This window comes from Homo sapiens, chromosome 12, assembly GCF_000001405.40.
Source record: "Homo sapiens chromosome 12, GRCh38.p14 Primary Assembly".
NCBI lineage: Eukaryota > Metazoa > Chordata > Mammalia > Primates > Hominidae > Homo > Homo sapiens.
Window position 1 is genome coordinate 6,611,858 of NC_000012.12, and position 25,811 is coordinate 6,637,668.

At 51.6% G+C, this 25,811-nt stretch overlaps 1 protein-coding gene and 1 long non-coding RNA gene across 4 annotated transcripts, besides 7 other annotated features; one reads left to right on the forward strand and one right to left on the reverse strand.

The window, feature by feature from the left end:
* Positions 924-2,666: a transcriptional cis regulatory region, noted in NCBI's record as "candidate enhancer chr12.325 targeted for multiplex CRISPR interference". NCBI's record gives its function as "positively regulates CHD4 gene expression with high confidence in K562 cells {active_cell/tissue: K562}" and the evidence as "EXISTENCE:mutant phenotype evidence [ECO:0000015][PMID:30612741]".
* Positions 1,907-1,976: a silencer, noted in NCBI's record as "silent region_4175". NCBI's record gives its function as "represses an Ori minimal core promoter by ATAC-STARR-seq in GM12878 lymphoblastoid cells {active_cell/tissue: GM12878}" and the evidence as "EXISTENCE:reporter gene assay evidence [ECO:0000049][PMID:35858748]".
* On the forward strand, positions 2,229-14,909 carry LOC105369631 (uncharacterized). 2 transcript variants are annotated; one of them, XR_007063192.1, is made up of 4 exons: positions 2,229-2,660; positions 2,970-3,055; positions 5,793-5,932; positions 14,832-14,909. It is a non-coding gene; the product is annotated as an uncharacterized LOC105369631 (long non-coding RNA). The 2 variants fall into 2 exon arrangements; XR_931597.3 differs by lacking the exon at positions 14,832-14,909 and having other exon boundaries at positions 5,793-6,894.
* LPAR5 (lysophosphatidic acid receptor 5) lies at positions 6,978-24,102 on the reverse strand. 2 transcript variants are annotated; one of them, NM_020400.6, is made up of 2 exons: positions 24,050-24,102; positions 6,978-9,607 (listed from the first exon to the last, which is right to left on the reverse strand). In NM_020400.6, exon 2 carries the CDS (start codon positions 9,389-9,391, stop codon positions 8,273-8,275), a length of 1,119 nt encoding a protein of 372 aa, NP_065133.1. In that variant the 5' UTR covers positions 9,392-9,607; positions 24,050-24,102; the 3' UTR covers positions 6,978-8,272. The 2 variants fall into 2 exon arrangements, with proteins under 2 accessions (NP_065133.1, NP_001136433.1); NM_001142961.1 differs by lacking the exon at positions 24,050-24,102 and adding an exon at positions 19,728-19,792.
* Positions 8,004-8,525: an enhancer, noted in NCBI's record as "H3K27ac-H3K4me1 hESC enhancer chr12:6729027-6729548 (GRCh37/hg19 assembly coordinates)". NCBI's record gives its function as "activates a minimal SCP1, AML or CMV promoter by ChIP-STARR-seq in naive H9 embryonic stem cells {active_cell/tissue: H9 hESC(naive)}" and the evidence as "EXISTENCE:reporter gene assay evidence [ECO:0000049][PMID:30033119]".
* Positions 8,526-9,046: an enhancer, noted in NCBI's record as "H3K27ac-H3K4me1 hESC enhancer chr12:6729549-6730069 (GRCh37/hg19 assembly coordinates)". NCBI's record gives its function as "activates a minimal SCP1, AML or CMV promoter by ChIP-STARR-seq in naive H9 embryonic stem cells {active_cell/tissue: H9 hESC(naive)}" and the evidence as "EXISTENCE:reporter gene assay evidence [ECO:0000049][PMID:30033119]".
* Positions 20,144-20,193: an enhancer, noted in NCBI's record as "active region_5870". NCBI's record gives its function as "activates an Ori minimal core promoter by ATAC-STARR-seq in GM12878 lymphoblastoid cells {active_cell/tissue: GM12878}" and the evidence as "EXISTENCE:reporter gene assay evidence [ECO:0000049][PMID:35858748]".
* Positions 21,044-21,103: an enhancer, noted in NCBI's record as "active region_5871". NCBI's record gives its function as "activates an Ori minimal core promoter by ATAC-STARR-seq in GM12878 lymphoblastoid cells {active_cell/tissue: GM12878}" and the evidence as "EXISTENCE:reporter gene assay evidence [ECO:0000049][PMID:35858748]".
* Positions 22,019-22,068: a silencer, noted in NCBI's record as "silent region_4176". NCBI's record gives its function as "represses an Ori minimal core promoter by ATAC-STARR-seq in GM12878 lymphoblastoid cells {active_cell/tissue: GM12878}" and the evidence as "EXISTENCE:reporter gene assay evidence [ECO:0000049][PMID:35858748]".
* Positions 24,103-25,811: the final 1,709 nt, after the last annotated feature.

The following is a 25,811-nucleotide window of genomic DNA, read 5'->3' on the forward strand; positions in this document are numbered from 1 at the left end:
TCCACTACTCACCCTGTGTCCCTATTCCTGTAGGTTCTACCCACTTCTTCCTTTGCTGCTCTTGCTCCCCACCTCTCCCTAACACCACAACAAGGAGAAAGTTAAAATCCCTTCCTCTCTTCTTGAGTTCCAGAAAGGGCTCGGAGGTGTGTGCTGGTGTGTTGCTTTGTAGTCCTTATGCTTCTACGCTTCCCCTCCCTCCTCTAGCCCCGTGCTACCCTCCCAGATAAATTATAAATAAACCACTAGCATGACTGGCCCAGGGAGACTAAGGGTGGCATAATCTCCTAATTAATGCACCCAGGAGGGCAGCCTCTCTAGCCAGTTACCTTAGAGTTCTGTTTTCATCCCATGGTACAGAAGAACCTAGAACAACACTCAGAGTGGGTTGTTCATGGAGTTTTTAGCATTTGCTCTATAATTCCTCTCCTTACACCTCTGTTTTGTGTGAACCTGAAAAACTCTGTTCATAAGAGGTCCAAGGGGCCACAGTGTTCTCCTGCTCTGTCTGAAAAGGGGATTTTGGGAGACAACGAGGGAAGCAAAGCCACAGTGACAGTGCACTCCAAAGGCTAGACAGGATGCAGATCACGTGGGGCTTGGGGGTGACATGCCAGGTGTTTGTATCTCAGGAGGCAACCTACTATCTGTTTTTTGGGTGTGACTGCAAGGTAGCAAAGCGCTCCGTGCACAACCCCCCAACCTAAGCAAAGTGCTCCGTGCACAACCCCCCAACCTAAGCAAAGTGCTCCGTGCACAATCCCCCAACCTGAGCTATGGTCCCCAGGCTCAAACCCAGGAAGACAAAGATGGAAGGGAGACGGGTACTATCGCCATCCATGACTACTACTCCCTTTGGTATGCCACCCGGCCAGAACATCTCAGTTCTCATTTGCAGTGCAGCTCTGCAGGCCCCGGACTCACAGGGCAACCCTGTAGCGCACAAGCTGTTTAAAGGACCCAGGTGTCCAGGGTTCAGATTTGGCTCGCTGGAGCCTGCCCCAGGGGCCCCTTCAAACAGCTGTCACCAAAGAAACCTCTCCAGCCAGTTACTCCTGCCAGGCCTCAGGTCCGACTCCAGGGCTCACCCTACCCTCCCCAGCTCCTTCCCTCCCTCTTCCTTCCCTCCCCCTCCCCACCCCTCCCTAGAGTTTCACCTCTCCTGGACAGCCCCACCCAGCTGTGCAGGGCACATCCCATAATAATCCTCCTCGCTAGCCTTACCCCCCCAAAAAAAGAGAGGCGGCCATCCCATAATAGCCACCCACAAGAGACATTCCGCGGTGACCGCCCCCTCCCTGCAGAGCTGCTGGGAGCAGCCATCCCATAATAGCTGGCCGCCTGTTTTACTGGTTACGGCTGTGGAGGGAGCTGGAGAGGAAATGGAGGGGAGGGGGGAGGGGAGAAAGATCCAGGGCCCCCACTTTGTGGGATGCAGGGAGAAGGGGAAGGACGGTGGTATAAGGGGCTAGGGTGCAGAGGAGGCCGTCGTGCAGGTGGAAGGTGTGATCCACTGGCCACCACCACCCTGCTTTAGGGCTTTCTCCCCATTCGCCAGGGGCTACTTTTCTCCTCAGCACCCCGGAGGTGGCTGCTAGTTAGGGGAGAAGCCCGGGATGGGTTGAGGTGCCCAAAGTCTGTGTGTGTAGGGAGATGGGTTTCAGGTGTTCCTCTTGGGGAGTCTGAGAGAGGACGGTGACCTTAGAAAGGATGGTAGGCGAGTAAGGGTTGAGGAGGTGGGGGGGCTGGAGAAGAGCTCCTCAGGCCCTCCCCATTCTGCACCACCATCCCATAATAATCCCCCCAGCCCCACTCCCCCTCCCACACACGACATCCCATAATATCTTCTGGAGAAGCAGTCCCCGCAGTAGGTACAAAGAGCTATCCCATAATAAGCTCCCCCACCCCCACTCACCACCCCCCCCAACTTGGCCCCCCCTCAGTCACATGCAGCCGGTGCCATCCCCCGCTGCTCCCCCCTCTGGCCACCGAAGGCCTTGCCAGCCCATAATACTCTTGCCTCTGGTCGCAGGAGGCCTCCAGCCCATAATACTCCCTTCCACCACCACCCCCCCTTCCCGCCCCGCACCCCTTCCTCCCGCCTCCAGTTGGAGCCGGGCCTCACCAACCCATAATATTCCCCAGTCTCCTAAGGCTGTTCCAGCCCATAATACTCTCCCTGTCTCCTAAGGCCTCTCCATCCCATAATACTGCCAGACGCCTGACCTGTGGGCCAAACCCCAGCCAGTTCCACACATCGAGGCTGTGTCAGCGCCGCAGGCCTCCCTCCCTGTCCCTCCTCCCTCCCTGGTCGGCGCTTTCCCTCCCAGGCTTTCTCCCGCCCTCCTGCCCTGGGCCCCTCTCCCAGCCCCACCCCGTGCCTGCCTGGGCCCTCGCTTCCCCTCCAGCCTCCTCCCTTGCCCTTTCTCCATTGCTTGGTTCTCCAGCCAGCTTCCCCCTGTCTTGCACTTTCCTACCTCCTCCTTGGTCTGTGGGATGGACATGGGCCTAGTGGGGAGAGAGTGCCCCCAGAGGGCAACAGGCCAGTCGCTGCCCCTAAAGACTGCCTGCTTGACCTAGCACCGTGGAAACCTGCCCAGCCTGCCTTGCTCACCACCTCCCGTGGTCCTACGTCTGATTGCTGGCAGAGCTCTGTCTGGGTGAGGAAAGAGCCCTTCAGGTCTTCGGGAAACACTCCCCTTGGGCATCACTGGCAGAGTTGATCAATGGCCTCGCCTCCCCATGCTCTTGTTGGAAAGAAGGAGCTCCCACTTATGGGGCATCTAGAGTACCTTTCAAAGGTGGGCTCCTTGACCCTCACAATAACCCAATAAGTGGATATTATGAGCCCCATTTCACAGAGAAATGGGAGAAAACAGAGGCTCAGAGAGGTCAAGAAATTTGTTGAAGCCACATTGCCAAGAAGTGAGAGAGTTGAAATTAATGCCCAGATTTGTTTGATTCCAAAGTTCTGGAGCCTTTGGGATTCCCCAAACCCTGAGTGAGAAAGTTCACCTTCCAGGACTTTCCGTGCTCCTCTGGCAAGGACAACATGGTGAGAATTACCCCAACTTGTCCAGGGCCTTCCTGTGTGAGATTAACCTTCCGTTCCCCGTTTCTTCCATGGGACTCCAGGTGGCAGCCTCGAGGGAATTCCATCTTCAGGATGGTTGAGGACCAAGAAGGAAGAATCTCTGCCCTCCTTTGATATCCCTTACCTCTGCCCTGGCTCTCCTAAATTTGTTTTAAGATTAATGATTGTGGCCGGGTGTGGTAGCTCACACCTGTAATCCCAGCACTCTGGGAGGCAGAGTCAGGCACATCACATGAGGCCAGGAGTTCAAAACCAGCATGGCCAACATGGTAAAACCCCGTCTCTACTAAAAATACGAAAATTAGCTGGGCGTGGTGACGCACGCCTGTAATTCCAGCTACTAAGGAGGCTGAGGCAGGAGAATCACTTGAATCTGGGAGGGGGAGGTTGCAGTGAGCCGAGATGGCACCACTGCACTCCAGCATGGATGACAGAGCAAGACCTTGTCTCAAAAAAAAAAAAAAAAAAAAAAATTAAGGCCAGGAGCGGTGGCTCATGCCTGTAATCCCAGCATTTTGGGAGGCCGAGGTGGGCGGATCATGAGGTCAGGAGACGGAGACCATCCTGGCTAACCTGGTGAAACCCTGTCTGTACTAAAAATAAAAACAATCAGCTGGGTGTGGTGGCACGTGCCTGTAGTCCCAGCTACTCGGGAGGCTGAGGCAGGAGAATCACTTGAACTTGGGAGGCAGAAGTTGCAGTGAGCCGAGATCGTGCCACTGCACTCCAGCCTGGGTGACAGAGCAAGACTCGATCTCAAAAAAAAAAAAATAATAATAATGATTGTTACTCTTCCCAGCTCCTCTCACCATGTGGAGGGACCATCCTACCGAGGAGACAGACTTTGAGGAAGGGTGAACCAAGGGATGGTCCCTGCTCAGTGTACACAATCAGGAGTGCTGCCTTGGAGATGTAGGGTACATCACAGGCTGGGGGAGGGGAGTCATGGCCAACTGCCTGAAGTCTTAAGGCATTCTGCCTGTGTGTGGGCCCTCGATGTGGTGTATTTTAGGGCCCAACACAATTAGAACCTTGAGTGAGCCAGCTCTCAACCTCCCCAACCCCTACAGCCACATGGTGTTCAATAAACAGGGGGCTGAGACAAACGGAGAGGGAAGGGGCGGGTGTGCTGTAGGGCAAGTGGATTAGGGGCATGGAGGAAGAACTGGGAAGAGGAGGACCAAGATGATGCAGCAGATTCAAGGCAAGCCAGGCAGTTGAAAGAGGTGGCTACATGAGGAGGGGAGGAGAAGGAAGGAAACCCGGGGTGGTATGTAACAGGAAAGAAAGTCCCAGGAAGGAGAGGTATACTGCAAAAAGCAGGAGTTTGGGAGCCAAATTACAGACTGAGCCACTTTCTAGTTGTGTGACCTTAAGACCTCAGATTCTCCAGGGTGTTTCATCTGTAAAAGGGATGAACATCATCTCCAACTCAGATTATATTATTTAATATAATAAAGAAGATAATGCATCTTAAGCGCTAACTTGAAATCTTGGCATACAGAAGAGTATTTTTTAAACCTGCTAAAAGGCCGGGTGCAGTGGCTCACGCCTGTAATCCCAGCACTTTGGGAGGCCGAGGTGGGTGGATCACCTGAGATCAGGAGTTCAAGACCAGCCTGGTCAACATGGTGAAACCCTGTCTCTACTAAAAATACAAAAATTAGCCGGGCATGGTGGCGGGCGCCTGTAATCCCAGCTACTCAGGAGGCTGAGGCAGGAGAATAGCTGGAACCTGGGAGGCGGAGGTTGCAGTGAGCAGAGACCACCAACTGCACTCCAGTCTGGGCAACAAGAGTGAAACTCCATTTCAAAAACAACAACAACAACAAAAACTGCTAATGCTCATTCCCGTCTGTCTAAGATTTTCCCCTTCTCTATCTTTGGATTTTCATAGACCTTAAATAGAGCAGCTTCAGGGCATGGGGTGAGGGCTCTGGACTTCATATTGCTCTCTTAGTCTTGGGGAACCCTATGAAAATGGCCTAATCTATTCTTGCCTCTCTGTTCTCTTGATGGAAAGCCTTTGGATATCTGAATGGGGGGAAATAGTCCACCAGGGCTTTGACACCAGAGATTTCACATCAGAGACAATGTATTGCCATCTAGCTCTTCCACAGGCCATGGCCACACTTGTCCTGGGCTATTGTAATGGCCCCCTGACCAGTCTTTCGTTTCTTTAGACTTTCCCCCCCCATCATTTTCCTACAGTTTATTCCACACAGTTTGTCAGTGTGAGCAAAACCTCACTCAGGAGCCTCCGTGGGCTTCCCATTGCCCACTAAACCAACTGCCAGCACCTTACCCTGCATTCTTGTGTTTTCTGCCTGGCATTATAGTTTTTGTTTACTTGTTCTATGGTTCTCACTAGATTGTAAACTACTTCACAGCAAGATCTGACTGTTCATTCATTCAACAAATATTTACTGAGCACTTTCTCTGTGCCAGGCACTGTTTTAGATGCTGGGGATCATCAGAGAATCAAGCAAAAATCCATGCCCCCACAGAACTTACATTCTACCTAGGATATAGGACGGGGTGGCGGAGATGATAAACTATAAAAATTAGAATAAATAAATTATATAGTATGTTGAAAAGTGATACATGCCGTGAGTTGTAATTACTTTGGAACTCACGTACCTGCCTATAAAAGTACTCAAGTAATCTTTAAAAATTGTGTTTGATTCTGTTTGAATAGGGCAAAGTGCTAAGATTTTGGACTACGAGGTTTGGCGCTGCCAGTGCTCTCAGGACAGGAAGGGCACAGGTCTTGAACCCTGAAGATGAAGAGAGATGGAGCAGGTGCTAATCACCAGGCCTCTTCCAGAGCGGCTGGAGGTAAGTGCCGGGCTCCAGGCTCCAATCTCCACCCAGATGGAGAAAGGCCCAGATTTCATGGCTATCCCTGAGGAATCTGGGTCAGTTCTCTGATTTGGCCACCAGGGGTCATTTTACCCCTGTAAATCACCATCTGGAGCACTTGGCATAAAGGCACACACAAAAGGCTACCCTGGACTAAAACAGACACAAACGGAGAACCCTGACACACACACACACACACACACACACACCTCTCTCTCTCTCTCTCTCACACACACACACACACACATTCTCTCACACACACAGAGTGCGTGCACACACAGATAAAAATACAGTATTGAGACATAGGGACAGAAATGCTATAGGACGCACACAGGGCAACAGCTCCTTCAGTAATGCCAGGGTCTGAAGATGTCCACAAGTGCCAACTCTGCAGCCCCTCCGAGCCCCCAACTTGGGTGAAGAGGGAAGGAATAGCCGGGCACAATGGCTCATGCCTGTAATCCCAGCACTTTGGGACGCAGGCAGATTCACCTGAGGTCAGGAGTTCGAGACCAGTCTGGCCAACATAGTGAAACCCTATCACTACTAAAAATACAAAAAATTAGCCGGGTGTGGTGGTGTGCACCTGTAATCCCAGCTACTTGGGAGGCTGAGGCAGGAGAATCCTATGAACCCGGGAGGCAGAGGTTGCAGTGTGCTGAGATCGCGCCATTGCACTCCAGCCCAGGTGACAGTGCGAGACCCTGTCTCAACAAAAAAAAAAAAAGAGGGAAGGACTAGTAGGTGGCCCATTTCCCTTGCTTCCAGCGTGCTGAGAATGGACAGCCTATTCCTGTCCTCCCATCTCACTCTTAACTTCCCCATAAACTTTTCTCTCCTGGCTGTGGCACAGTTCCCTTTTCCCTCCCCCAGAGAAGCCCCATCCCCTCTGCCTGAGTGTATGACTAGTTCCACCCCCCAGTCTCCATCCCTGCCCCAGGGCTGCTGCTCTGATATGCCCAGGGTAGTGTTCCATTTTATGTACTACTCCTAGGGCCGCAGGAAAACCCTGAGCCATGAAGACTATCAGTAGTGATTAATTTATTTAGCACTGCCCTCTCCCCACAGTAATAAAAAGCACTGTACATAATGCCCTGGGAAGAAGTTAGACATGAACTCCAATACTTCAGGACAAGTATGGTTCTCAAAGTGTGATCCAGGGACCAACCCTCTGAGGAAGTCCACGAGGTCAAGCTATTTTCATAATACTGCTACACAGATGTTATTTGTCCCTTTCACTCTCATTCTCTCACAAGTATACTGTAGAGTTTTCCAGAGGCTTCATGAAGTGTGTGTGGTGACATTATTGCTCCCATGGCTAATGTAATGTGTGCATGTGTATTTATTTTAAAAATGTATTCGCTTTAATTTCTAGTATGGTAAGTATCAAAAGAACAAAATATAAGCAAAGCTCTTTGAGATCCTCAATTTCTAAGAGTGGGGTCTGAGACCAAAAAGTTTGAGAACCAGTGCTTTAGTAGAAAGAATTTTATCCTTACTCTGGACAAAGGAGAGAGAGGGAGAGAGAGAGAAGAGGAGAAGAGAGAGGAGAGGAGAGGAGAGAGAAGAGAGAAACGAGAGAGAGAGAAAAAGAAAGAATATTAAGGACCTAAAATGGAGGAGGCCTGGAAAAGGGGATGTGATGGAAGAAAGGATAACCTAAAAAGGGTTTGGACTTGGATGTTGTTGAGGGGGAAACTCTAAGTTAGTTTTGCCTTGCCCCAACTATCCCATGCTGGATGCCAAGTCTAAATTGTCACAAGTCACTATGCGAGAAAGAATGTAGTTCTGTCCATAGGAACTCTTGTATTAGGCCTCAGTGGTGAGCAGGGGAAGCCTAGGCCGAAATGAAAGGGGGTGGCATCCATGAGCCTAGACAGAAGTCAGCAGATGAACAGGCATCTCAGTAGCTTTGTCCACCAAACCTGGTGCTCTTCAGCTCTCAGGCCCCTGTGGCGGTTTAGATCCAGAATGCCCATTTTCTGTTCCATCTAACCAGCTTTTAGCAGTTTAATGCCCTGCCCACCCAAAGGCATTTCGTCCTCTTCTGCCCTCTGCACGGGTGGGCTCTCTGCATCACTTCCCACCGCTGGAGAAGGGGTGCTCTGCGTGCTCACAGTTTAAAGAAGCCATTTCCAGCAGCACTGCCTTCCCTGGGCCCTGGCTTCCACACTTTGTACTCTTCTGCGTTGCTAAGCTGGAATTGCCACCCAAAGGTCCAAGTGCCCAGCCCACCTTCTTGTGTGTACACCCTGTAAGCCTCCCAGAACGAGAGGCGTTGGGAGTCGGGCACGGACAGCGCAATGGCATGTGTGTTCAGAGGGCGGAATCCTGGGGACACTGTGTGAAGGAAGACAGAGAGTGGGAGTCGGAGGGTCGGAGCAGCCCCTGACTGGCGGCATCCGGCCTGGTGGCGTCGGTGGTGACGGCGGACCTTTCGGATTGCGCGAGCGCCGCCCGCGTCCCGTTGGTGGCCGAGGTCCTGGCCCGGTGCGGAGTGCCCAGGCCGCGCAGGGTGTTGCGGAAGCCCTCGGCGCTAAAGTAGTACACCAGCGGGTCCAGCACGCAGTTGGCGCCGGCCAGCAGCACCATCACCATCAGCACCCCGCGCACGCGATCGCGGGCAGGCACGCTGGCCGCCACCAGCTTGCTCCGCAGCAGCCCGTAGACCGCCAGCGTGCTGTTGTAGGGCACGAAGCACAGCAGGAAGATGACGAGGTTAGCCAGCAGGAGGCGCACGGTCTTCCGCCGCCGCTGGCTCTGCGTGGCGTCGGGGCGCGCCAGCGTCCAGAAGACTCGGCCCGACGAGTAGACCACCGCCGCCAGGGGCAGCAGGAAGCCCAGCGCCTCGGCCAGCAGCACGAGGGGCAGCAGCCTGCCTTTCCACAGCTCGTCGCTGAAGCTCTCGAAGCATAGGCGCACCTCGAGGTCCCGGTAGCGGCAACGCGAGGGCCTGTGCACGCGGGCGGCGGGCACGGCAAACACCAGGATGAGCGCCCACACGCCCAGGCAGAGCAGCCGCGCCACGCGGGGCCGCCGCAGGTGGCGCAGTCGCAGCGGGTGCACGATGGCGGCGTAGCGGTCCACGTTGATGAGCATCAGGAAGATGCAGCTGCCGTACATGTTCATCTGGAAGATGGCGCCCGTCGTCTGGCACAGGAGGTCGGGGAAGGGCCAGTGGTGCAGTGCGTAGTAGGAGAGACGAACGGGCAGCGAGAGGGTGAAGAGCAGGTCGCTGGCCGCCAGGTTACACATGTACACGCTCACCACCGAGTGCACGCGCAGCGCGCGCAGGAAGACCCAGAGGGCTAGCGCGTTGAGGGGGAGCCCGGCAGCCAGCACCAAGCTGTAGACCACCAAGTGCAGGCGGTGGGTAGGTCGGTAGTCAGGACACGGGAGAACAGAACTGTTGGTTGAGGAGCTGTTGGCTAACATCGTGCCAAAGTGGGATTGGGAGCTAGGCTGGGGATGCCATGGAGCACACCAGAATCATGGCATGGCATTCACCTCCGGGGCTGGGGCCTAGAGGCTGTACAGACATGGTCCCAAAACAAGCAGAGGGAGGTCATGGGAATGTGGGCTATGGCTGCAGGGACAGATGGCTGCCAAGGGTTGGGTGCGTTTGGTCACAGCTTCATCAGCAGCAGAGACCTGGAATAGGAAGGCAAGCCGGAAGTTATACAGAGACAGGGCTGCACACACAAATGTTTAGCTCCACTGGCAGGCCTTCTGAATCTTTTCTCAGCCTCAAGTCTGCCATTGGGCTAGAATAGGTTCCTACGGCAGGACTATATAGTATAGTGTTAAACACCCAGGTTTGAAGGCAGGGACTCGGATGCCTAGGTTTAAATCTTGGTTTTGCTAACTTGCCTAGTTGTGTGACTTCAAAAAAATTAATCTTGGCTGGGTGCAATGGCTTACACCTGTAATCCTGGCACTTTGGGAGGCCAAGGCAGACCAATTGCTTGAACCTAGGAGTTGGGGACCAGCCTGGGCAACACGGCGAAACCCCATCTCTACAAAAAAATACAGGGCCAGGTGCAGTGGCTCACACCTGTAATCCCAGCATTTTGGGAGGCCGAGGCGGGTGGATTACCTGAGGTCAGGAGTTCGAGACCAACCTGTCCAATATGGTGAAACCCCATCTCTACTAAAAATACAAAAATTAGCTGGGCGTGGTGGTGCACACCTGTAATCCCAGCTACTCGGGAGGCTGAGACAGGAGAATCGCTTGAAACCAGGAGGCAGAGGTTGCAGTGAGCTGAGACTGTGCCATTGCACTCCAGCCTGGACAACAAAAGTGAAACTCTGTCTCAAAAAATAAAAATAGCCAGGCGCGGTGGCTCACGCCTGTAATCCCAGCACTTTGGGAGGCCGAGGCAGGTGGATCACCTGAGGTCAGGAGTTCGAGACCAGCTTGGCCAACATGGTGAAACCCCATCTCTACTAAAAAAAATACCAAAAATTAGCCTGGCATAGGGGCGGGCGCCTGTAATCCCAGCTACTCAGGGGGCTGAGACAGGAGAATTGCTTGAACCTGGGGGGTGGAGTTTGCAGTGAGCCAAGATCGCGCCATTGCACTCCAGCCTGGGCAACAAGAGTGAAACTCCATCTCAAAATAAATAAATAAAATAAAATAAAAAATAAAAATAAGGCTGGGCGTGGTGGCTCACATCTGTAATCCGAGCACTTTGGGAGGCTGAGGTGGGCGGATCACCTGAGGTCAGGAGGTTGAGACCATCCTGGCCAACATGGCAAAATCCTGTCTCTACTAAAAAAAAAAAAAAATTAGCCGGGCGTGGTGGCAGGCGCCTGTAATCCCAGCTACTCAGGAGGCTGAGGCAGGGAGAATTGCTTGAGCAGAGGTTGCAGTGAGCCGAGATCACACCATTGCACTCCGGCCTGGGTGACAGAGCAAGACTCTGTCTCAAAAAAAAATAAAATAAAAAATATTAAAAAATTAAAAAATTAGCCAGGCATTGTGGCACATGCCCGTAGTCCCAGCTACTTGTGAGGCTGAGGTGAGAGAATCACTTGACTCCAGGGAGGTGGAGGCTGCAGTGCAGTGAGCCTCAAGCCCACCACTGCACTCCTGCCTGGGTGACAGAGTGAGCCCATCTCAAAAAAGAAAGAAAGAGGGCCAGGGCCGGCGTAGTGGCCCACACCTGTAATCCAGCACTTTGGGAGACTGAGGCGGGCAGATCACCTGAGGTCAGGAGTTCGAGATCAGCCTGGCCAACCTGGCAAAACCCTGTCTCTACTAAAAATACAAAAATTAGCCAGATGTGGTGGCATGCACCTGTAGTCCCAGCTACTCAGGAGGCTCACACAGGAGAATCACTTGAACCCAGGAGGCGGAGGTTGCAGTGAGCTGACATCGTACCACTGCCCTCCAGCCTGGGTAACAAAACGAGACTCCATCTCAAAAAAAAAAAAAGGCGGCTGCATGGTACCTCATGCCTGTGATCTCAGCACTTTGGGAGGCTGATGTGGGTGGATTACTTGAGGCCAGGAGTTGAAGACCAACCTGGCCAACATGACAAAATCTTGCCTCTACTAAAAATACAAAGATTAGCCGGGTATGGTGGCGTGCACTTGTAATCCCAGCTCCTCAGTAGGCTAAGGCATGAGAATTGATTGAATCCAGGAGGCAGAGGTTGCAATGAGTCGAGATCACGCCACTGCACTCCAGCCTGGGTGACAGAGCGAGACTCTGTCTCAAAAAATGAGAGAGAGAGAGAGAGAATTCATGAGGTTTGGAGATTAAGATGACGTGTGTAAAACGCTTAGGTTGCTGTTACTATCTCAAGATCTCTTCCTTCCTTCTTTCCTTGCTTACTGAGCTCATAGAAAGTTCCAGGCATGTTCACAGCAGGGAACAAAGCAAAAAGTCTTTGCCCCCACCTCCTTTACATTCCATTGGAGGGAGACAGATAATAAGCACAAATCAATAGGTGGTCTTATGGAGCACCTCCTTGGACCAGGTGCTAGGCTAGCTCCTCATTATCCAAAGAATAAAGGTCAAACTCTTTGAGTACATGGGAGGCTGCAGCAGGAGAGTCCTTGAACCCGGGAGGCGGAGGTTGCAGTGAGCCGAGATCACGCCACTGCACTCCAGCCTGGGTGACAGAGTGAGACTCCATGTCAGACAAGCAAACAAGCAAACAAAACTCCCAAATACAGAACAACATCCCAGCCTTACGCATCACATGCATCACTGCGCCTGTGAGGGCTGGATTTGTGGTCAAAGCAAACTGGGTTCAGCTTAATGGTTTGACTTCTCAGTTTCTTCATCTGTAAAATGGGAATAATAATATAATAATGCCCTCATAGGCTGATTGCATGCTAGTCTTGACCAGAGCCACATGTGAATAAATTTGACAGCACAGTCTTGCTAGGCAGGGGAAGGCCCTGTGGGTTGAGTTTTGCCAAGTGCTCCCCTAGCAGGTCTAATCCATCGCACTCCGGCCTGGGAGACAGAGTGAGAGTCCGTCTCAAAAACAACAACAACAACAACAAAGACCAAGACAGTGTTGCTTAACCGTCACCACTCTCTGTTTCCAGAAATAGAACTTTTTCATCAACCAAGCAACAACTCTGCAGTCATTAAGCAGTACTACCCACCGCACCCCATTCAGCTTCTGGTTCTAGTCTACTTTCTGTCTCAATGAATTTGCCTATTCTAGATACCTCATATGAGTGGAATCATACAATATTTGTCCTTTTGTGTCTGGTTTATTTCACTTAGCATAATGTTTCCAAGATCTATTCATGTTGTAGTATGTAAAGGAATTTCTTTTTTTTTCTTTTCCGTTTTTTTCTTTGAGACCTAGTTTCGCTCTTGTTGCGCAGGCTGGAGTGCAATGGCACGATCTCGGCTCACCGCAACCTCTGCTTCCAGGGTTCAAGCGATTCTCCTGCCTCAGCCTCCCAAGTAGCTGGGATTACAGGCATGCGCCACCACGCCTGGCTAATTTTGTATTTTTAGTAGAGACGAGGTTTCTCCCTGTTGGTCAGGCTGGTCTCGATCTCCTGACCTCAGGTGATCCACCCGGCTCGGCCTCCCAAAGTGCTGGGATTACAGATGTGAGCCACCGCACCTGGCCTGGAATTTCATTTTTATAGCTGAATAATGTATTTCATTGTATAATGTTTTGCTCATCCATTCATCTGTCAGTGAATACTTGGATTCTTTCCACCTTTTGGCTATTGTGAATAATGCCACTGTGAACATGGGTGTCTAGATGTCATCTTAGGGAGAGAAGTTGTCTGAGACCCTGAGCAATTATCCCAAGACACCGAGCTTATTACTTTCAAAAGGAACTGTTTAGGCCGGGCGTGGTGGTTCACGCTGGTAATCCCAGCACTTTGGGAGGCCGAGGCAGGCGGATCACGAGGTCAGGAGATTGAGACCATCCTGGCTAACACGGTGAAATCTCGTCTCTTTTAAAAATGCAAAAAATTAGCCGGGCGTGGTGGCAGGCGCCTGTAGTCCCAGCTACTCAGGAGGCTGAGGCAGGAGAATGGCATGAACCCGGGAGGCGGAGCTTGCAGTGAGCCGAGATTGAGCCACTGCACGCCAGCCTGGGCAACAGAGACTCCGTCTCAAAAAAAAAAAAAAAAGAGGGCCGGGCGCGGTGGCTCATGCCTGTAATCCCAGCACTTTAGGAGGCCAAGGCGGGCGGATCACAAGGTGAGGAGATCGAGACCATCCTGGCTAACATGGTGAAACCTCGTCTCTACTGAAAATACAAAAAAATTTAGCTGAGCGTGGTGGTGGGCGCCTGTAGTCCCAGTTACTCAGGAGGCTGAGACAGGAGACTGGCGGGAACCCGGGAGGCAGAATTTGCACTGAGCCGAGTTCACGCCACTGCATTCCAGCCTGGGCGACAGTGAGACTCCGTCTCAAAAAAAAAAAAAGGAACTGTTTAAATTGTTGCAAGAAAATAAGTCATAAATCTGGCTATAACAAGTTTTTTGTTTGTTTTTTGTTTTTTGTTTTTTTTGAGACAGGGTCTCACTCCGTGGTCCAGGCTGGAAAGCAGTGGCTCGATCTTGGCCCACTGCAGTCCTGAACTCCCAGATTCAAGTGATCCTCTTACCTCAGTCTCTGAGTAGTTGGACCTACAGGCGTGTGCCACCATCCCTGGCTAATTTTTAAATTTTTTGTAGATGGCCAGGGGCAGTGGCTCATGCCTGTAATCCTAGCACTTTGGGAGGCTGAGGTGGGTGGATCACTTGAGGTCAGGAGCTCGAAACCAGCCTAGCCAACATGGTGAAACCTCGTCTCTACTAAAAATACAAAAAAATAGCCAGGCATAGTGGCAGGTGCCTGTAATCCCAGCTACCCGGGAGACTGAGTCAGGAGAATCGCTTGAACCCAGGAGGCAGACAGAGGTTGCAGTGAGCTAAGATCGCGCCACTGCACTCCAGCCTGGGCAACAGAGCAAGACTCCATCTCAAAAAAAGAAAAAATTTTTTCATAGAAACGGGGTCTGACTGTGTTGCCCAGGCTGGTCTTAAACTCAGGCTCAAGCAATCCTTTTGCCCTGGGCTCTGTAAGTCCTAGGATTACAGGCATGAGCCACTGTACCTGGCCACAAGTTTTTCTTGTATTTGGTTTTGTTCTCCTTCCAACCACCACCATCAGCAGTTTGAGACTTGTAAGAGATATAGTAAAACAGTTAAAGGGAATAAAGAAATACTTCCTCTGCAAAATACCAGTCTCAACAATGAAAATAATACCAAATGAGACTTAAACATGCTGAAAAGCAAGTAAAACCAGGCTCATTTCTGATACACTCCCCTGCTCCATGCTCCTTTGCTCCATTCACACCAAACTAATACTAATTGTGGACATACCTTATGTTTTCAGGACTCTGCCTTTGTATGTGGTGTTTCTTCAACTTGGAATGCCCTGCCTCCCGTTCTCCAACTGGCAAGCCTAGTATTTTCTCAGGACTCTGCAAAGCCTTCCCTAACCGCCCCCGCAACACAAGGCGGATGTGGTACCCTCACTTGTGCCTCCGCAACAGTGCGCAGGTTTATCAGAGCTCTCCCCATGCATGGTAGTCAGCTGTTCCTGGTCTGCCCCTCCCATTAGACTGTGAACTCTTAGAGGGAGGGGCTGTGGACCATGGCTTATTCATCTTTGTGTATTCTCAGCACCTACCTCTGTAAATGTTAAAAATAATAGGTATCATTTACTGATCATCACCATATTTTAATTTCTATACATAATATCTAACATAGATACATTATTTCACTTCCTCATTGTCCAACTGAAATGTATAAAGTGGGTTATTTGAAGTGGGTTATTAAAAATAACCACTTCCAAAAGTGGTGACATAAACTCATCTTTCACACATACACATAAATATGCCTCCTTGAATCACTTGAACCCAAGAGGCGGAGGTTGCAGTGAACGAAGATCATGCCACTGCACTACAGTTTGGGCAACAGAGTGAGACTCCGTCTAAATAAAAATAAGTAAATAGACCGGGAATGGTGGCTCACGCCTGTAATCCCAGCACTTTGGGAGGCCGAGGCAGGCGTATCACGAGGCCAGGAGTTCGAGACCAGCCTGGCCAACATGGTGAAACCTCGTCTCTACTAAAAATACAAACAATTAGCCGGGCGAGGTGGCAGGTGCCTGTAATCCCAACTACTCGGGAGGCTGAGGCAGGAGAATTGCTTGAACCCAAGGGGCGGAGGTTGCAGTGAGCAGAGATCGTGCCACTGCACTCCAGCTTGAGTGACAAAAGCGAAACTCCATCTCAAAAAAATAAATAAACCTCCTTAAAATTCCCCCTTAAGTGCATACGTAAGCACTTAGTTTGCTGTTTTGAGCCCCTCAATCGTTTTATGTATATTTGTTCTATTTCCCCAACTAGATGGTAAGCTCCTAGGGTGGGAGCGCACCTTGCAGACACATTTCACTCTCTGCATTTAGCAGGTCCTGAGCGATACTCATTGGCTGCTTAACAGGAAATCCACCCTCCCCACCTCCTACACCCATCCCGCCCCCAACTACCCCCGCCCACGCTCTAATCCTGTGATAATAGCTCTTGTATCAATCTTGTCCAAATGTATAACTCAGTAAAAGACCACTTCCCTTAAAAGACCTGTTTGGAAACAGCTTGCAAACAAGATTTCAATAACAGTTTACACTATGATTACAGTATCACTTGATCATTCTTTTCTTTTTCTTTTTTCTTTTTTTTTTTGAGACAGAGTCTTGCTCTGTCGTCCGGGCTGGAGTGCAGTGGCTCAATCTGGGCTCACTGCAAGCTCTGCCTCCCGGGTTCACGCCATTCTCCTGCCTCAGCCTCCCGAGTAGCTGGGACTACAGGCACCTGCCACCTCACCCGGCTAATTTTTTGTATTTTTAGTAGAGCTGGGGTTTCACTGTATTAGCCAGGATGGTCTCTATCTCCTGACCTCGTGATCTGCCCGCCTTGGCCTCTCAAAGAGCTGGGATTACAGGCGTGAGCCACCGCGCCAGGCCCACTTGATCATTCTTAACCATTACTTGGAGAACCAGTAGATCCTTCCAATTAGAAAGCATATACTAGACACTGAATGAGTGGATGGATGATTTTCAAAGAACCTCAAGTCTGTCTTTCTTTCTTTCCTTCCTTCCTTCCTTCCTTTTCTTTTTTGAGATGGAGTTTCGCATGCTCTGTCACCCAGGCTGCAGTGAAGTGGCAGAATCTCGGCTCACTGCAACCTCCGCCTCCCGGGTTCAAGTGATTCTCCTGCTTCAGCCTCCTGAATAGCTGAGATTACAGGCGCTCACCACCACGCCCAGCTAATTTCTTTTTTTTTTTTTTTTTTGAGATGGAGTTTCACTTTTGTTGCCCAGACTGGAGTGCAATGGCACGATCTCCGCTCACCGCAACCTCTGCCTCCCAGGTTCAAGCGATTCTCCTGCCTCAGCCTCCTTAGTAGCTGGGATTACAGGCATGTGCCACCACGCCCAGCTAATTTTGTATTTTTAGTAGAGATGGGGTTTCTCCATGTTGGTCAGGCTGGTCTCGAACTCCCAACCTCAGGTGATCTGCCCGCCTCAGCCTCCAAAAAATGCTGGGATTACAGGCGTGAACCACCATGCCCGGCCAATTTCTGTATTTTTAGTAGAGAAGACTGGGTTTCACTATGTTGGCCAGGCTGGTCTCGAACTCCTGACCTCAGGTAATCCGCCTGCCTTGGCCTCCCAAAGTGCTGGGATTACACTGTGCCTGGCTGATCTCAAGTCTTTCTGTTGAAAAAGTTACAATGTACCGGGCACGGTGGCTCACGCCTGTAATCCCAGCACTTTGGGAGGCCGAGGTGGGCGGATTACCTGAGGTCAGGAGTTCGAGACCAGCCTGGCCAACATGGTGAAACCTCATCTCTACTGAAAATACAAAAATTAGCCAGGGGTGGTGGCACACGCCTGTAATCCCAGCTACTCGGGAAGCTGAGGCAGGAGAATTGCTTGAGCCCGGGAGACGGAGGTTGCAGTGAGCCGAGATCGTGCCACTGCACTCCAGCCTGGCCAACAGAGCGAGACTCTGTCTCAAAAAAAAAAAAAAAAGGGCCAAGCGCGGTGGCTTACACCTGTAATCCCAGCACTTTGGGAGGCCAAGGTGGGTGCATCATGAGGTCAGGAGACCAAGACCATCCTAGCTAACATGGTGAAAGCCCATCTCTACTAAAAATACAAAATATTAGCCGAGCTTGGTGGCACCTGCCTGTAATCCCAGCTACTCGGGAGGCTGAGGCAGGAGAATCGCTTGAACCCGGGAGGCAGAGGTTGCAGTGAGCCGAGATTGCGCCACTGCACTCCAGCCTAGATGGCAGAGTGAGACTCCGTCAAAAAAAAAAAAAAATTAAAATGTTAAATAGACCAAGATTATTAGTTGAGCGGCTACTTAAAGGTAAAGTTAGGCGAAGTGATGGCTCACACCTGTAATCCCAGCACTTTGGGAGGCTGAGGCGGGCGGATCACCTGAGGTCAGGCATTCAAAACCAGCCTGGTCAACATAGTGAAAACCCCATCTCTACTAAAAATACAAAAATTAGCCAGGCATGGTGGCGGCATCTGTAATCCCAGCTACTCGGGAGGCTGAGGCAGGAGAATCCCTTGAACCCAGGAGGCGGAAGTTGCAGTGAGCTGAGATCGCGCCACTGCACTCCAGCCTGGGTGACAAGAGTGAAACTCTGTCTCAAAAAACATAAATAAATAAATGTAAAGGTATAGCTAGGAATTTTTTAGCAAAGGAAATGGCGATGCTCTCTTGTTACTCTATTCCAAAGGGGAGAAGTTCTTGGGTTTCTTTTTTTTTTGGATACAGTCTCACTTCGTTTGGAGGCTGGAGTGCAGTATCACAATCTTGGCTCACTGCAACCTCCGCCTCCTGGGTTCAAGCAATTCTCGTGCCTCAGCCACCCAAGTAGCTGGGATCATAGCTCGCACCACCACACCTGCCTAATTTTTTGTGTTTTCAGTAGAAATGGGGTTTCACCATGTTGGTCAGGCTAGGCTGGTCTCCTGACCTCAAGTGATCTGCAGACCTCGGCTTCCCAAAGTGCTGGGTGCTGGAATTACAAGAGTGAACCACTGCACCCAGCCCATCTTTTTTTTTTTTTTTTTTTTTTTTTTTTTTTTTTTTTTTGAGACGGAGTCTCCCCGTTGCCCAGGCTGGAGTGCAGTGGTACAGTCTCAGCTCACTGCAACCTTTTCCTCCCAGGTTCAAGCAATTCTCTTGTCTCAGCCTCCTGAGTAGCTGGGACTACAGGTGCACGCCACCATGCCTGGCTAATTTTTGTATTTTTAGTAGAGACAGGTTTCACCATATTGGTCAGGCTGGTATTGAACTCCTGACCTGAGTTGATCCACCCGGCTCGGCCTCCCAAAGTGCTGAGATTATAGGCATGAGCCACCGCACCTGGCCCCAGCCCATCTTTATAAAGGATCCTGGTGGTCAAAAAGCCGCCTCTTTCTGACAGTCACACAGAACGGCCCAAGCTGAGCACTGAGAGCTGCCAGGCCCCTGGCCTGGTCCCCATCCCACACTTCTGCTTCCCGAGCCCTGGGGCTCCCTTCAGGAGCTGAATGGGCACAGTGCCAGGCCAGATGGCGAAGATGGAAAAAACTGCCAAAAAGGAGGCTAACAGGATGTGGAAGGAGGGAATCTAGGTGTTGGGGAGGGGCAGCCCAGACCCTCTCCCCCAATCCTGCCTTGAAGAAGAGGTCAGGCTGTAGGAGAGATGCAGGAATCAAAGAAATGGCAGCTGCCCCAGAAAAGAAGGAACACCAGGAAGGAGGGACATGGAGGCCCCCATAGGCTGAAGAACGTCGGCACACACTGATGTCAGGTAAGTATACCACTCATTACACGTGTGTGCACAGACACATATACACACACGCTAAGAGATGTGCACACAAGACCCCTAGTAACATAGAACTCAGTGTCTATACACATCCTGTAATAAACACGTATGTGCATAGACAACTGGGCTGGGGAGGAAGAGAAAGAAGGCCCTGCCTTAGGGACAGTATCCTTACACAGACAGAACCAGGCAGCTTCACAAGCATGGGAGATCTCAACCCCAAGGCACTGAGGAGCAAAGTGACCACGACACACACAGAGGGTCCGGGACTGCTCCTTCTATATCACCCACCCCAACACCGCTCACACACCAGAATGTGTGCAGCCACCTTCCTTCTCCCTGGGTCTCCGTCCTTCAGCTTCCCATGTACACATCCGGGGGCCAGGTTACTTACCTCCTCAGGGCCTCTGGGATCTGTCCCATTTGCCCTCTGAGCTGGGCTGGGCACTGCTCTTTGCTGAGATAAGCCAGAGGGGCAGGGCTATTTTATGCCAGAGGCAGGAAGTGAGAACAAGAGTGTAAAAGTGAGCAGGAGGTGCAATCATGATCATTCCCTCACTCTCCTCCACACACCCTGCCCTGGTATCCAGCCTCTTGGGCAAATGACGTTGAGGGGAGCTGAAGAGAAAGGACCAGGGGGCTGGGAACAATGAGAAGGGCAGGGGCAGGGGAATGCCTCCTCTTTGCCCAGTTCCTCCCCCATACCCTTCCTGTGTTGCCCACCTCCCCGCAAACACCACATGCCTTGCTCTGTCTTTTGCCTCCTTTCTTTCTTTCCGTTTTTTTTTCTTTTGTTTTTGAGACGGAGTCTCGCACTGTCGCCTGAGCTGGAGTGCAACGGTGCAATCTCAGCTCACTGCAACCTCTGCCTCCCGGATTCACGCGATTCTCCTGCCTCAGCCCCCTGAGTAGCTGGGATTACAGGCGCACACCACCACACCCGGCTAATTTTTTGTATTTTTCGTAGAGACGGGGTTTCACTATATTGGCCAGACTGGTCTTGAACTCCTGACCTTGTGATCTGCCTGCCTCGGCCACCCAAAGTGCTGGAATTACAGGCGTGAGCCACTGGACCCGGCCTGCCTCCTCTTTCAAATAATTCACATCCTGGGTCCCCTGACTCCAATTCCTAGGGTCAGAGGTCTGAAAAGAAGGTTCTTACATCTCCCCATCCTCCTTGCCCCTGAGAATCAGCTCTGGAATAGCCCCACCCTCATTTTAGAGTCTCGTGGCCCATCAGTGTCTCAGCCCCGACACAGGAAGTCCCTCTTTAGTATGTACTCTAACCCACTCGCTGAATTAGCGAAGCCTACTTCCTCTGCTTCTGTGTTCAGGCAGCGCTGGGAGGATGCACCCTTTCCCCACAGACAGGCTTCATCATGAAGACTCAGTATCTCTGTATCCAGGCCCTCCAAACAGACCCCAGCTGTGCTGAGCCTCCAGCAGAAGCTTAGCTCAGTCCAAAGCCTTTGTGAAAAGCTCTGTCCCAGAGCTGTTTTGAGGGCACAAATGAATCCTTTTCTTCCGCTTATCCTGGTCCTGAGGGGCAGGGATGAGATGGAAGACTAAATGGAACAGGAGGATGAATCCTCATCCTCAAGGTTTGGAGACAGTACAAAGTCCCCAGGGTGGGCGGGGAGGCCTCCTTCTGCCCAGGGGCCACATTCTTCCTCAGAGAGGAGTCTCTGGCACGGATCCCGGGTGTCAGGTCGTGTCTTCCCTCCTCCCTGGCCCAGGCCTGCCTGCTTCTCCAGCCAGAATTCCTGCTCCTGCCTTTCCCCACCCTTCTCTGCTGAAGCCTGTCTTTTCCTGCATTTCCAGCATCATCCTCGGCCCTGGCTTCTCCCTCCCTGAGTACTCTGACCTCATCCCTCCTGACATTTGTCTGGGAAAAGGCAGAAAGCAAAGGTGGTCTACAGCTCAATAACTAGTTTCCCTGATGTGCGGATATCACCTTGCCATTGTGCCTCTCCCTTTACCCTGCTTTCGAGAGCTGGAAAAGCAAGAAAGTCAGTCCCAAGAGAAGCCACGGAGGCAGGCCCAGCCCCCTGACCTGTGTCCTGAGGTGGTCTGTGTGCATCTGACCCTTGCTTGTAGCCTGGCAGGTCCTGCTTCCTCAGGGAAATCCACCAGAGCCTGTGGGCTTTGCTGACCTCACCTGACTTTAGAGTGCACTGGCTTCAGCCCTCACTGCTCTTGCCGGTTCCTTCTCCTGGGTTTTGTTTTTTTTTTTTCTGAGATGGAGTCTCGCTTGCTGTGTTACCTAGGCTGGAGTACAGTGGTGCAATCTCAGCTCACTGCAACCTCCGCCTCCCGGGTTCACGCAATTCTCCTGCCTCAGTCTCCCGAGTAGCTGAGACTACAGGCGCCCGCCACCACGCCTGGCTAATTTTTGTATTTTTAGTAGAGATGGGTTTTCACTGTGTTGGCCAGGCTGGTCTTGAATGCCTGACCTCAGGTGATCTGCCCTCCTCAGCCTCCCAAAGTGCTGGGATTACAGGCGTGAGCCACTGTGCCCGGCCATTCTCCTGGGCTTTTTAAAATGCCCCTGGGCATAAAAGATCTCTGTCAGTAGGTATGTCCTGGGGTATGCACTGGGGGCAGCAGAGTAGGGAGAGCAGATGGCATCAGACAGATGGAGTTGGGCTCTAGTGCCTCTGAGTGGCTGGGTGGTGAGTCCTGTACATACTGCATGTGAGTAAGTTTCTGTCTCACCTCAATCCCTGCCTCCATGTCCCACTGGGTCTACAACTTTAGCTCACCCTAAAAGGAGGATTTCTGCCAGCCTGGGCAGCATAGTGGGACCCCATCTCTACAAAAAATATTTTTTTTTTGAGATAGAGTCTCGCTCTGTTGCCAGGCTTGAGTGCAGTGGTGTGATCTCAGCTCACTGCAACCTCCGCCTCCCGGGTTCAAGGGATTCTCCTGCCTCAGCCTCCCGAGCAGCTGGGACTATAGGTGCGTGCCACCGTGCCCAACTAATTTTTGTCTTTTCAGTAGAGACGGGGGTTTCACCATGTTGCCTGGGATGGTCTCGATCTCTTGACCTTGTGATCTGCCCGCCTTGGCCTCCCAAAGTGCTGGGATTACAGGTGTGAGCCACCACGCTCCGCTCTACAAAAAAATTTCAAAAAACTAACAGAGGCCGAGTGTGTGACTCGCGCCTGTAATCCCAGCACTTTGGGAGGCAGAGGCGAATGGATCACTTTAGCGCGAGTTCAAGACCAGCCTGGGCAACATGGTGAAACCCTGTCTCTACACAAACACACACACACCCAAAAAAAATACAAAAAGTAGCTGGTTGTGGTGGCTCAAGCCTATATTTCCAGCTATTCTGGAGGCTGAGGCAGGATAATAGCTTGAACCCAGGAGGCGGAGTTTGCAGTGAGTCTAGATCATGCCACTGCACTTTAGCCTAGACGACAGAGCGAGACCCCATCTCAAAAAAAAAAAAAATTAGCCGGGCATGGTGGTGCCTGCCTGTAGTCCCAGGTACTCGGGAGGCTGAAGTGGGAGGATTGCTTGAACCCAGGAGTTTGAGGCTGCAGTGAGCCATGTTCATGCCACTGCACTCCAGCCTGGGCAACAGAGTGAGATCCTGTCTTGAAAAAAAAAATGGCTGGGCACCGTGGCTTATGCCTGTAATCCCAGCACTTTGGGAGGCCGAGGCAGGTGGATCATGAGGTCAGGAGTTCAAGACCAGCCTGGCCAAGATGGTAAAACCCTGTCTCTACTAAAAATGCAAAAATTAGCCGGGCATGGTGGTGCGTACCTATAATCCCAGCTACTCAGGAGGCTGAGGCAGAGAATTGCTTGAACCCAGGAGGCGGAGGTTGCAGTGAGCTGAGAGCGTGCCACTGCACTCCAGCCTGGGTGACAAAGGGAGACTCTGTCTCAAAAAAAAAAAAAAGAAAGGAAGGAAGGAAGAGAGAAAAAAAGGAGTAGTTCTGGAGATACAATCTGGTGGAGGTCCCCTTCTTGTCATGGGGGCCCCACAACCACAGGGAAGAGGTAGGCCCCATCCTCATGGTGTGATGTGAAGGTATCATAAAGCCCTGCTGACCTCCGAATATGTCCCCCACCTCCAAAATTCCATCCCCTGAAGCCACCATCTATCAGAGCCATAGGGACATCAAAGACCATCAGTCTAATCCCCTTATATAGATGCACCTTTTGGGTTAAGGCAGCACTTCCTGAAGACCCCATTACAGTACACCTTGGCTAGTTGGGAAGGATAACACTGAGAACACATCTCTGCCAGTCAACCCATTAGCAAGTTTGATTAGATCAGCTCATTGTCATCTGCCTGGCCCTGGGGGATGTGTGGTGTAGGGGTTGAGGTTTAACTGCGAGTGGAAAAAGTGTGTAAACAGTCCCCAGAGGGCCCTCCCTGGGAGGCCCAAGGCTCAGTTCCACAGTGGGGGCCTAGAGGGGGAGGGGGAGGACACAGCCTCTGCGAGATGCCCCAGAGTGGGGGCTTCAAGCATCAAAGAGGAGCACTCCCGAGGTGTAGCAGGCATGTTAGCTGTTTGTCCAGCGCCATCTGAAAAGATCTGTCTATTTGAGGCAGCTCCTTTCGGCTTTTTACTCTGTTCAGAAGGGTTTTCCAGGGCCCATGCCCACCCTCTTCTCTGTCCCCCACCCAAATCTCCCATTTCTACAGGGGGGTGCTCCCCTTGTGCTCCCTGTGCAGTTCAATTCGTGACACCCCCATACCTGTGCTCCGTGTTGCTCTGCGCTGCCCCAAGCTGGCTTCCGCTGCCTGCTCTGGGCTGGGCTGGGCTGGGCTGGGCTGGTAGGACCTGCTCCCAGGGCGGGAGGGGACACACCCACCTCAGCAGATCTCAGCCCATCCCTCCCAGCTCAGTGCACTCACCCAACCCCACACGGGCCAAGGAGAGAGTGAAGAGGAAGCATTGCCCTCAGAGGCCTTCACGGACTGGCCAGAGAAGAAACCCCAGCAGCTAAGGATACTTAATCCAGCCCCGACTAGGAACTGCCCCCACCCATCGTTCAGATATTCCTGCTGTGTCTGGGAACTCTTCCTGGCACACCCACCGTCTGATGCCAGATGACTAACCCACCAGCCTCTCGCTGTCCTCACCGGTTCCCCCTGGGTGTCTGTCTTCCTTTCCTAGGTCTGCCAGGTGGTTTAGTCCATGCTACTCGTGGCTTAGTCCATGCCACTCGTGGCTTGTGCCCCACCCTGCCCGGGGCCCTCTTCATGACAGTGCTCTGCTAGGTCCTGCCTCCCACTGAGCACACTTGGCTCCCGCATCGAGCAGTCACTAGGCTGGATGGTTCCTCTTTGCTTAGGTCTGTTTCTCCTCAGCCCGTTGTCTTGTGTCCTCGGGCCAGACAACACAGAGACAAGTGGCCCTGTGGGCACAGGGCTGGGCATGTTGTCCATGCTCAATAAATAAAAACAAGTTCAAGTTTTTTGGTGGTAGGTGGAAAAGGGATTGTGGTGAAATGAGTTTGGGAAGCACTAGGTTAAACAGGTTTCTCTATTACCGCGCTCCGGAGGGCCTTAACATGCTGTCAGATGATAGGCCTTGTGTTGATCATGGAAACTGGGTGAAGGGTACATGACAGTGCATTATACTTTTCTATTTTTGTGCATGTTTGAACTGTCATAGTAAGCAAGCTTTAACAAAATGCTGTTAATTACTGCGAACCTATAGAAGGGAGAGAGACTCTACAGTGTCCCTGGAACATACTTTGGGATATGTCAACTTATTAAAGGCCAATGCTGAGCCAGGCACGGTGGATCACACCTGTAATCCCAACACTTTGGGAGGCCGAGGCGGGCAGATCACGAGGTCAGGAGTTCAAGACCAGTCTGGCCAACATAGTGAAACCCCTTCTCTACTAAAAATACACAAAAAATTAGCCGGGCATGGTGGTGTGCGCCTGTAATCCCAGCTACTTAGGAGGCTGAGGCAAGAGAATCACGTGAACCCAGGAGGCGGAGGTTGCAGTGAGCCAAGATAGTGCCACTGCACTCTAGCCCAGGCAACAGAACAAGACTCCGTCTCACTAATAATAATAATAATAATAAAGGCCAATGCTGGAGTCATACCTCAATGTAGGTTGTTAAGATGCAACCACTTAAACATCCAGATCATCTGGCAAATTCCTGTACACCAAGGGTTTCCTTCCTGTAATCCCAGCACTTTGGGAGGCCGAGGTGGGAAAATTGCTTGAGCCCAGGAGTTCGAGACCAACCTGGGCAACATGGAGGGACCCCATCTCTACAAAAAAATATAAAAATTAGCCAGGCTTAGTGGCACATTCCTGTGGTCACAGGGACCTGAGAGGCTGAGGTAGGAGTGTGGCTGGAGCCCAGGAGGTCAAGACTGCAGTGGGTGGTGATCATGCCACTGCACTCCAGCCTGGGTGACAGAGCGAGACCCTGTCTCAAACACAAAACAACAACAACAAAAACAACCCCAAGGTTTCCTGATCTAGGCTATAG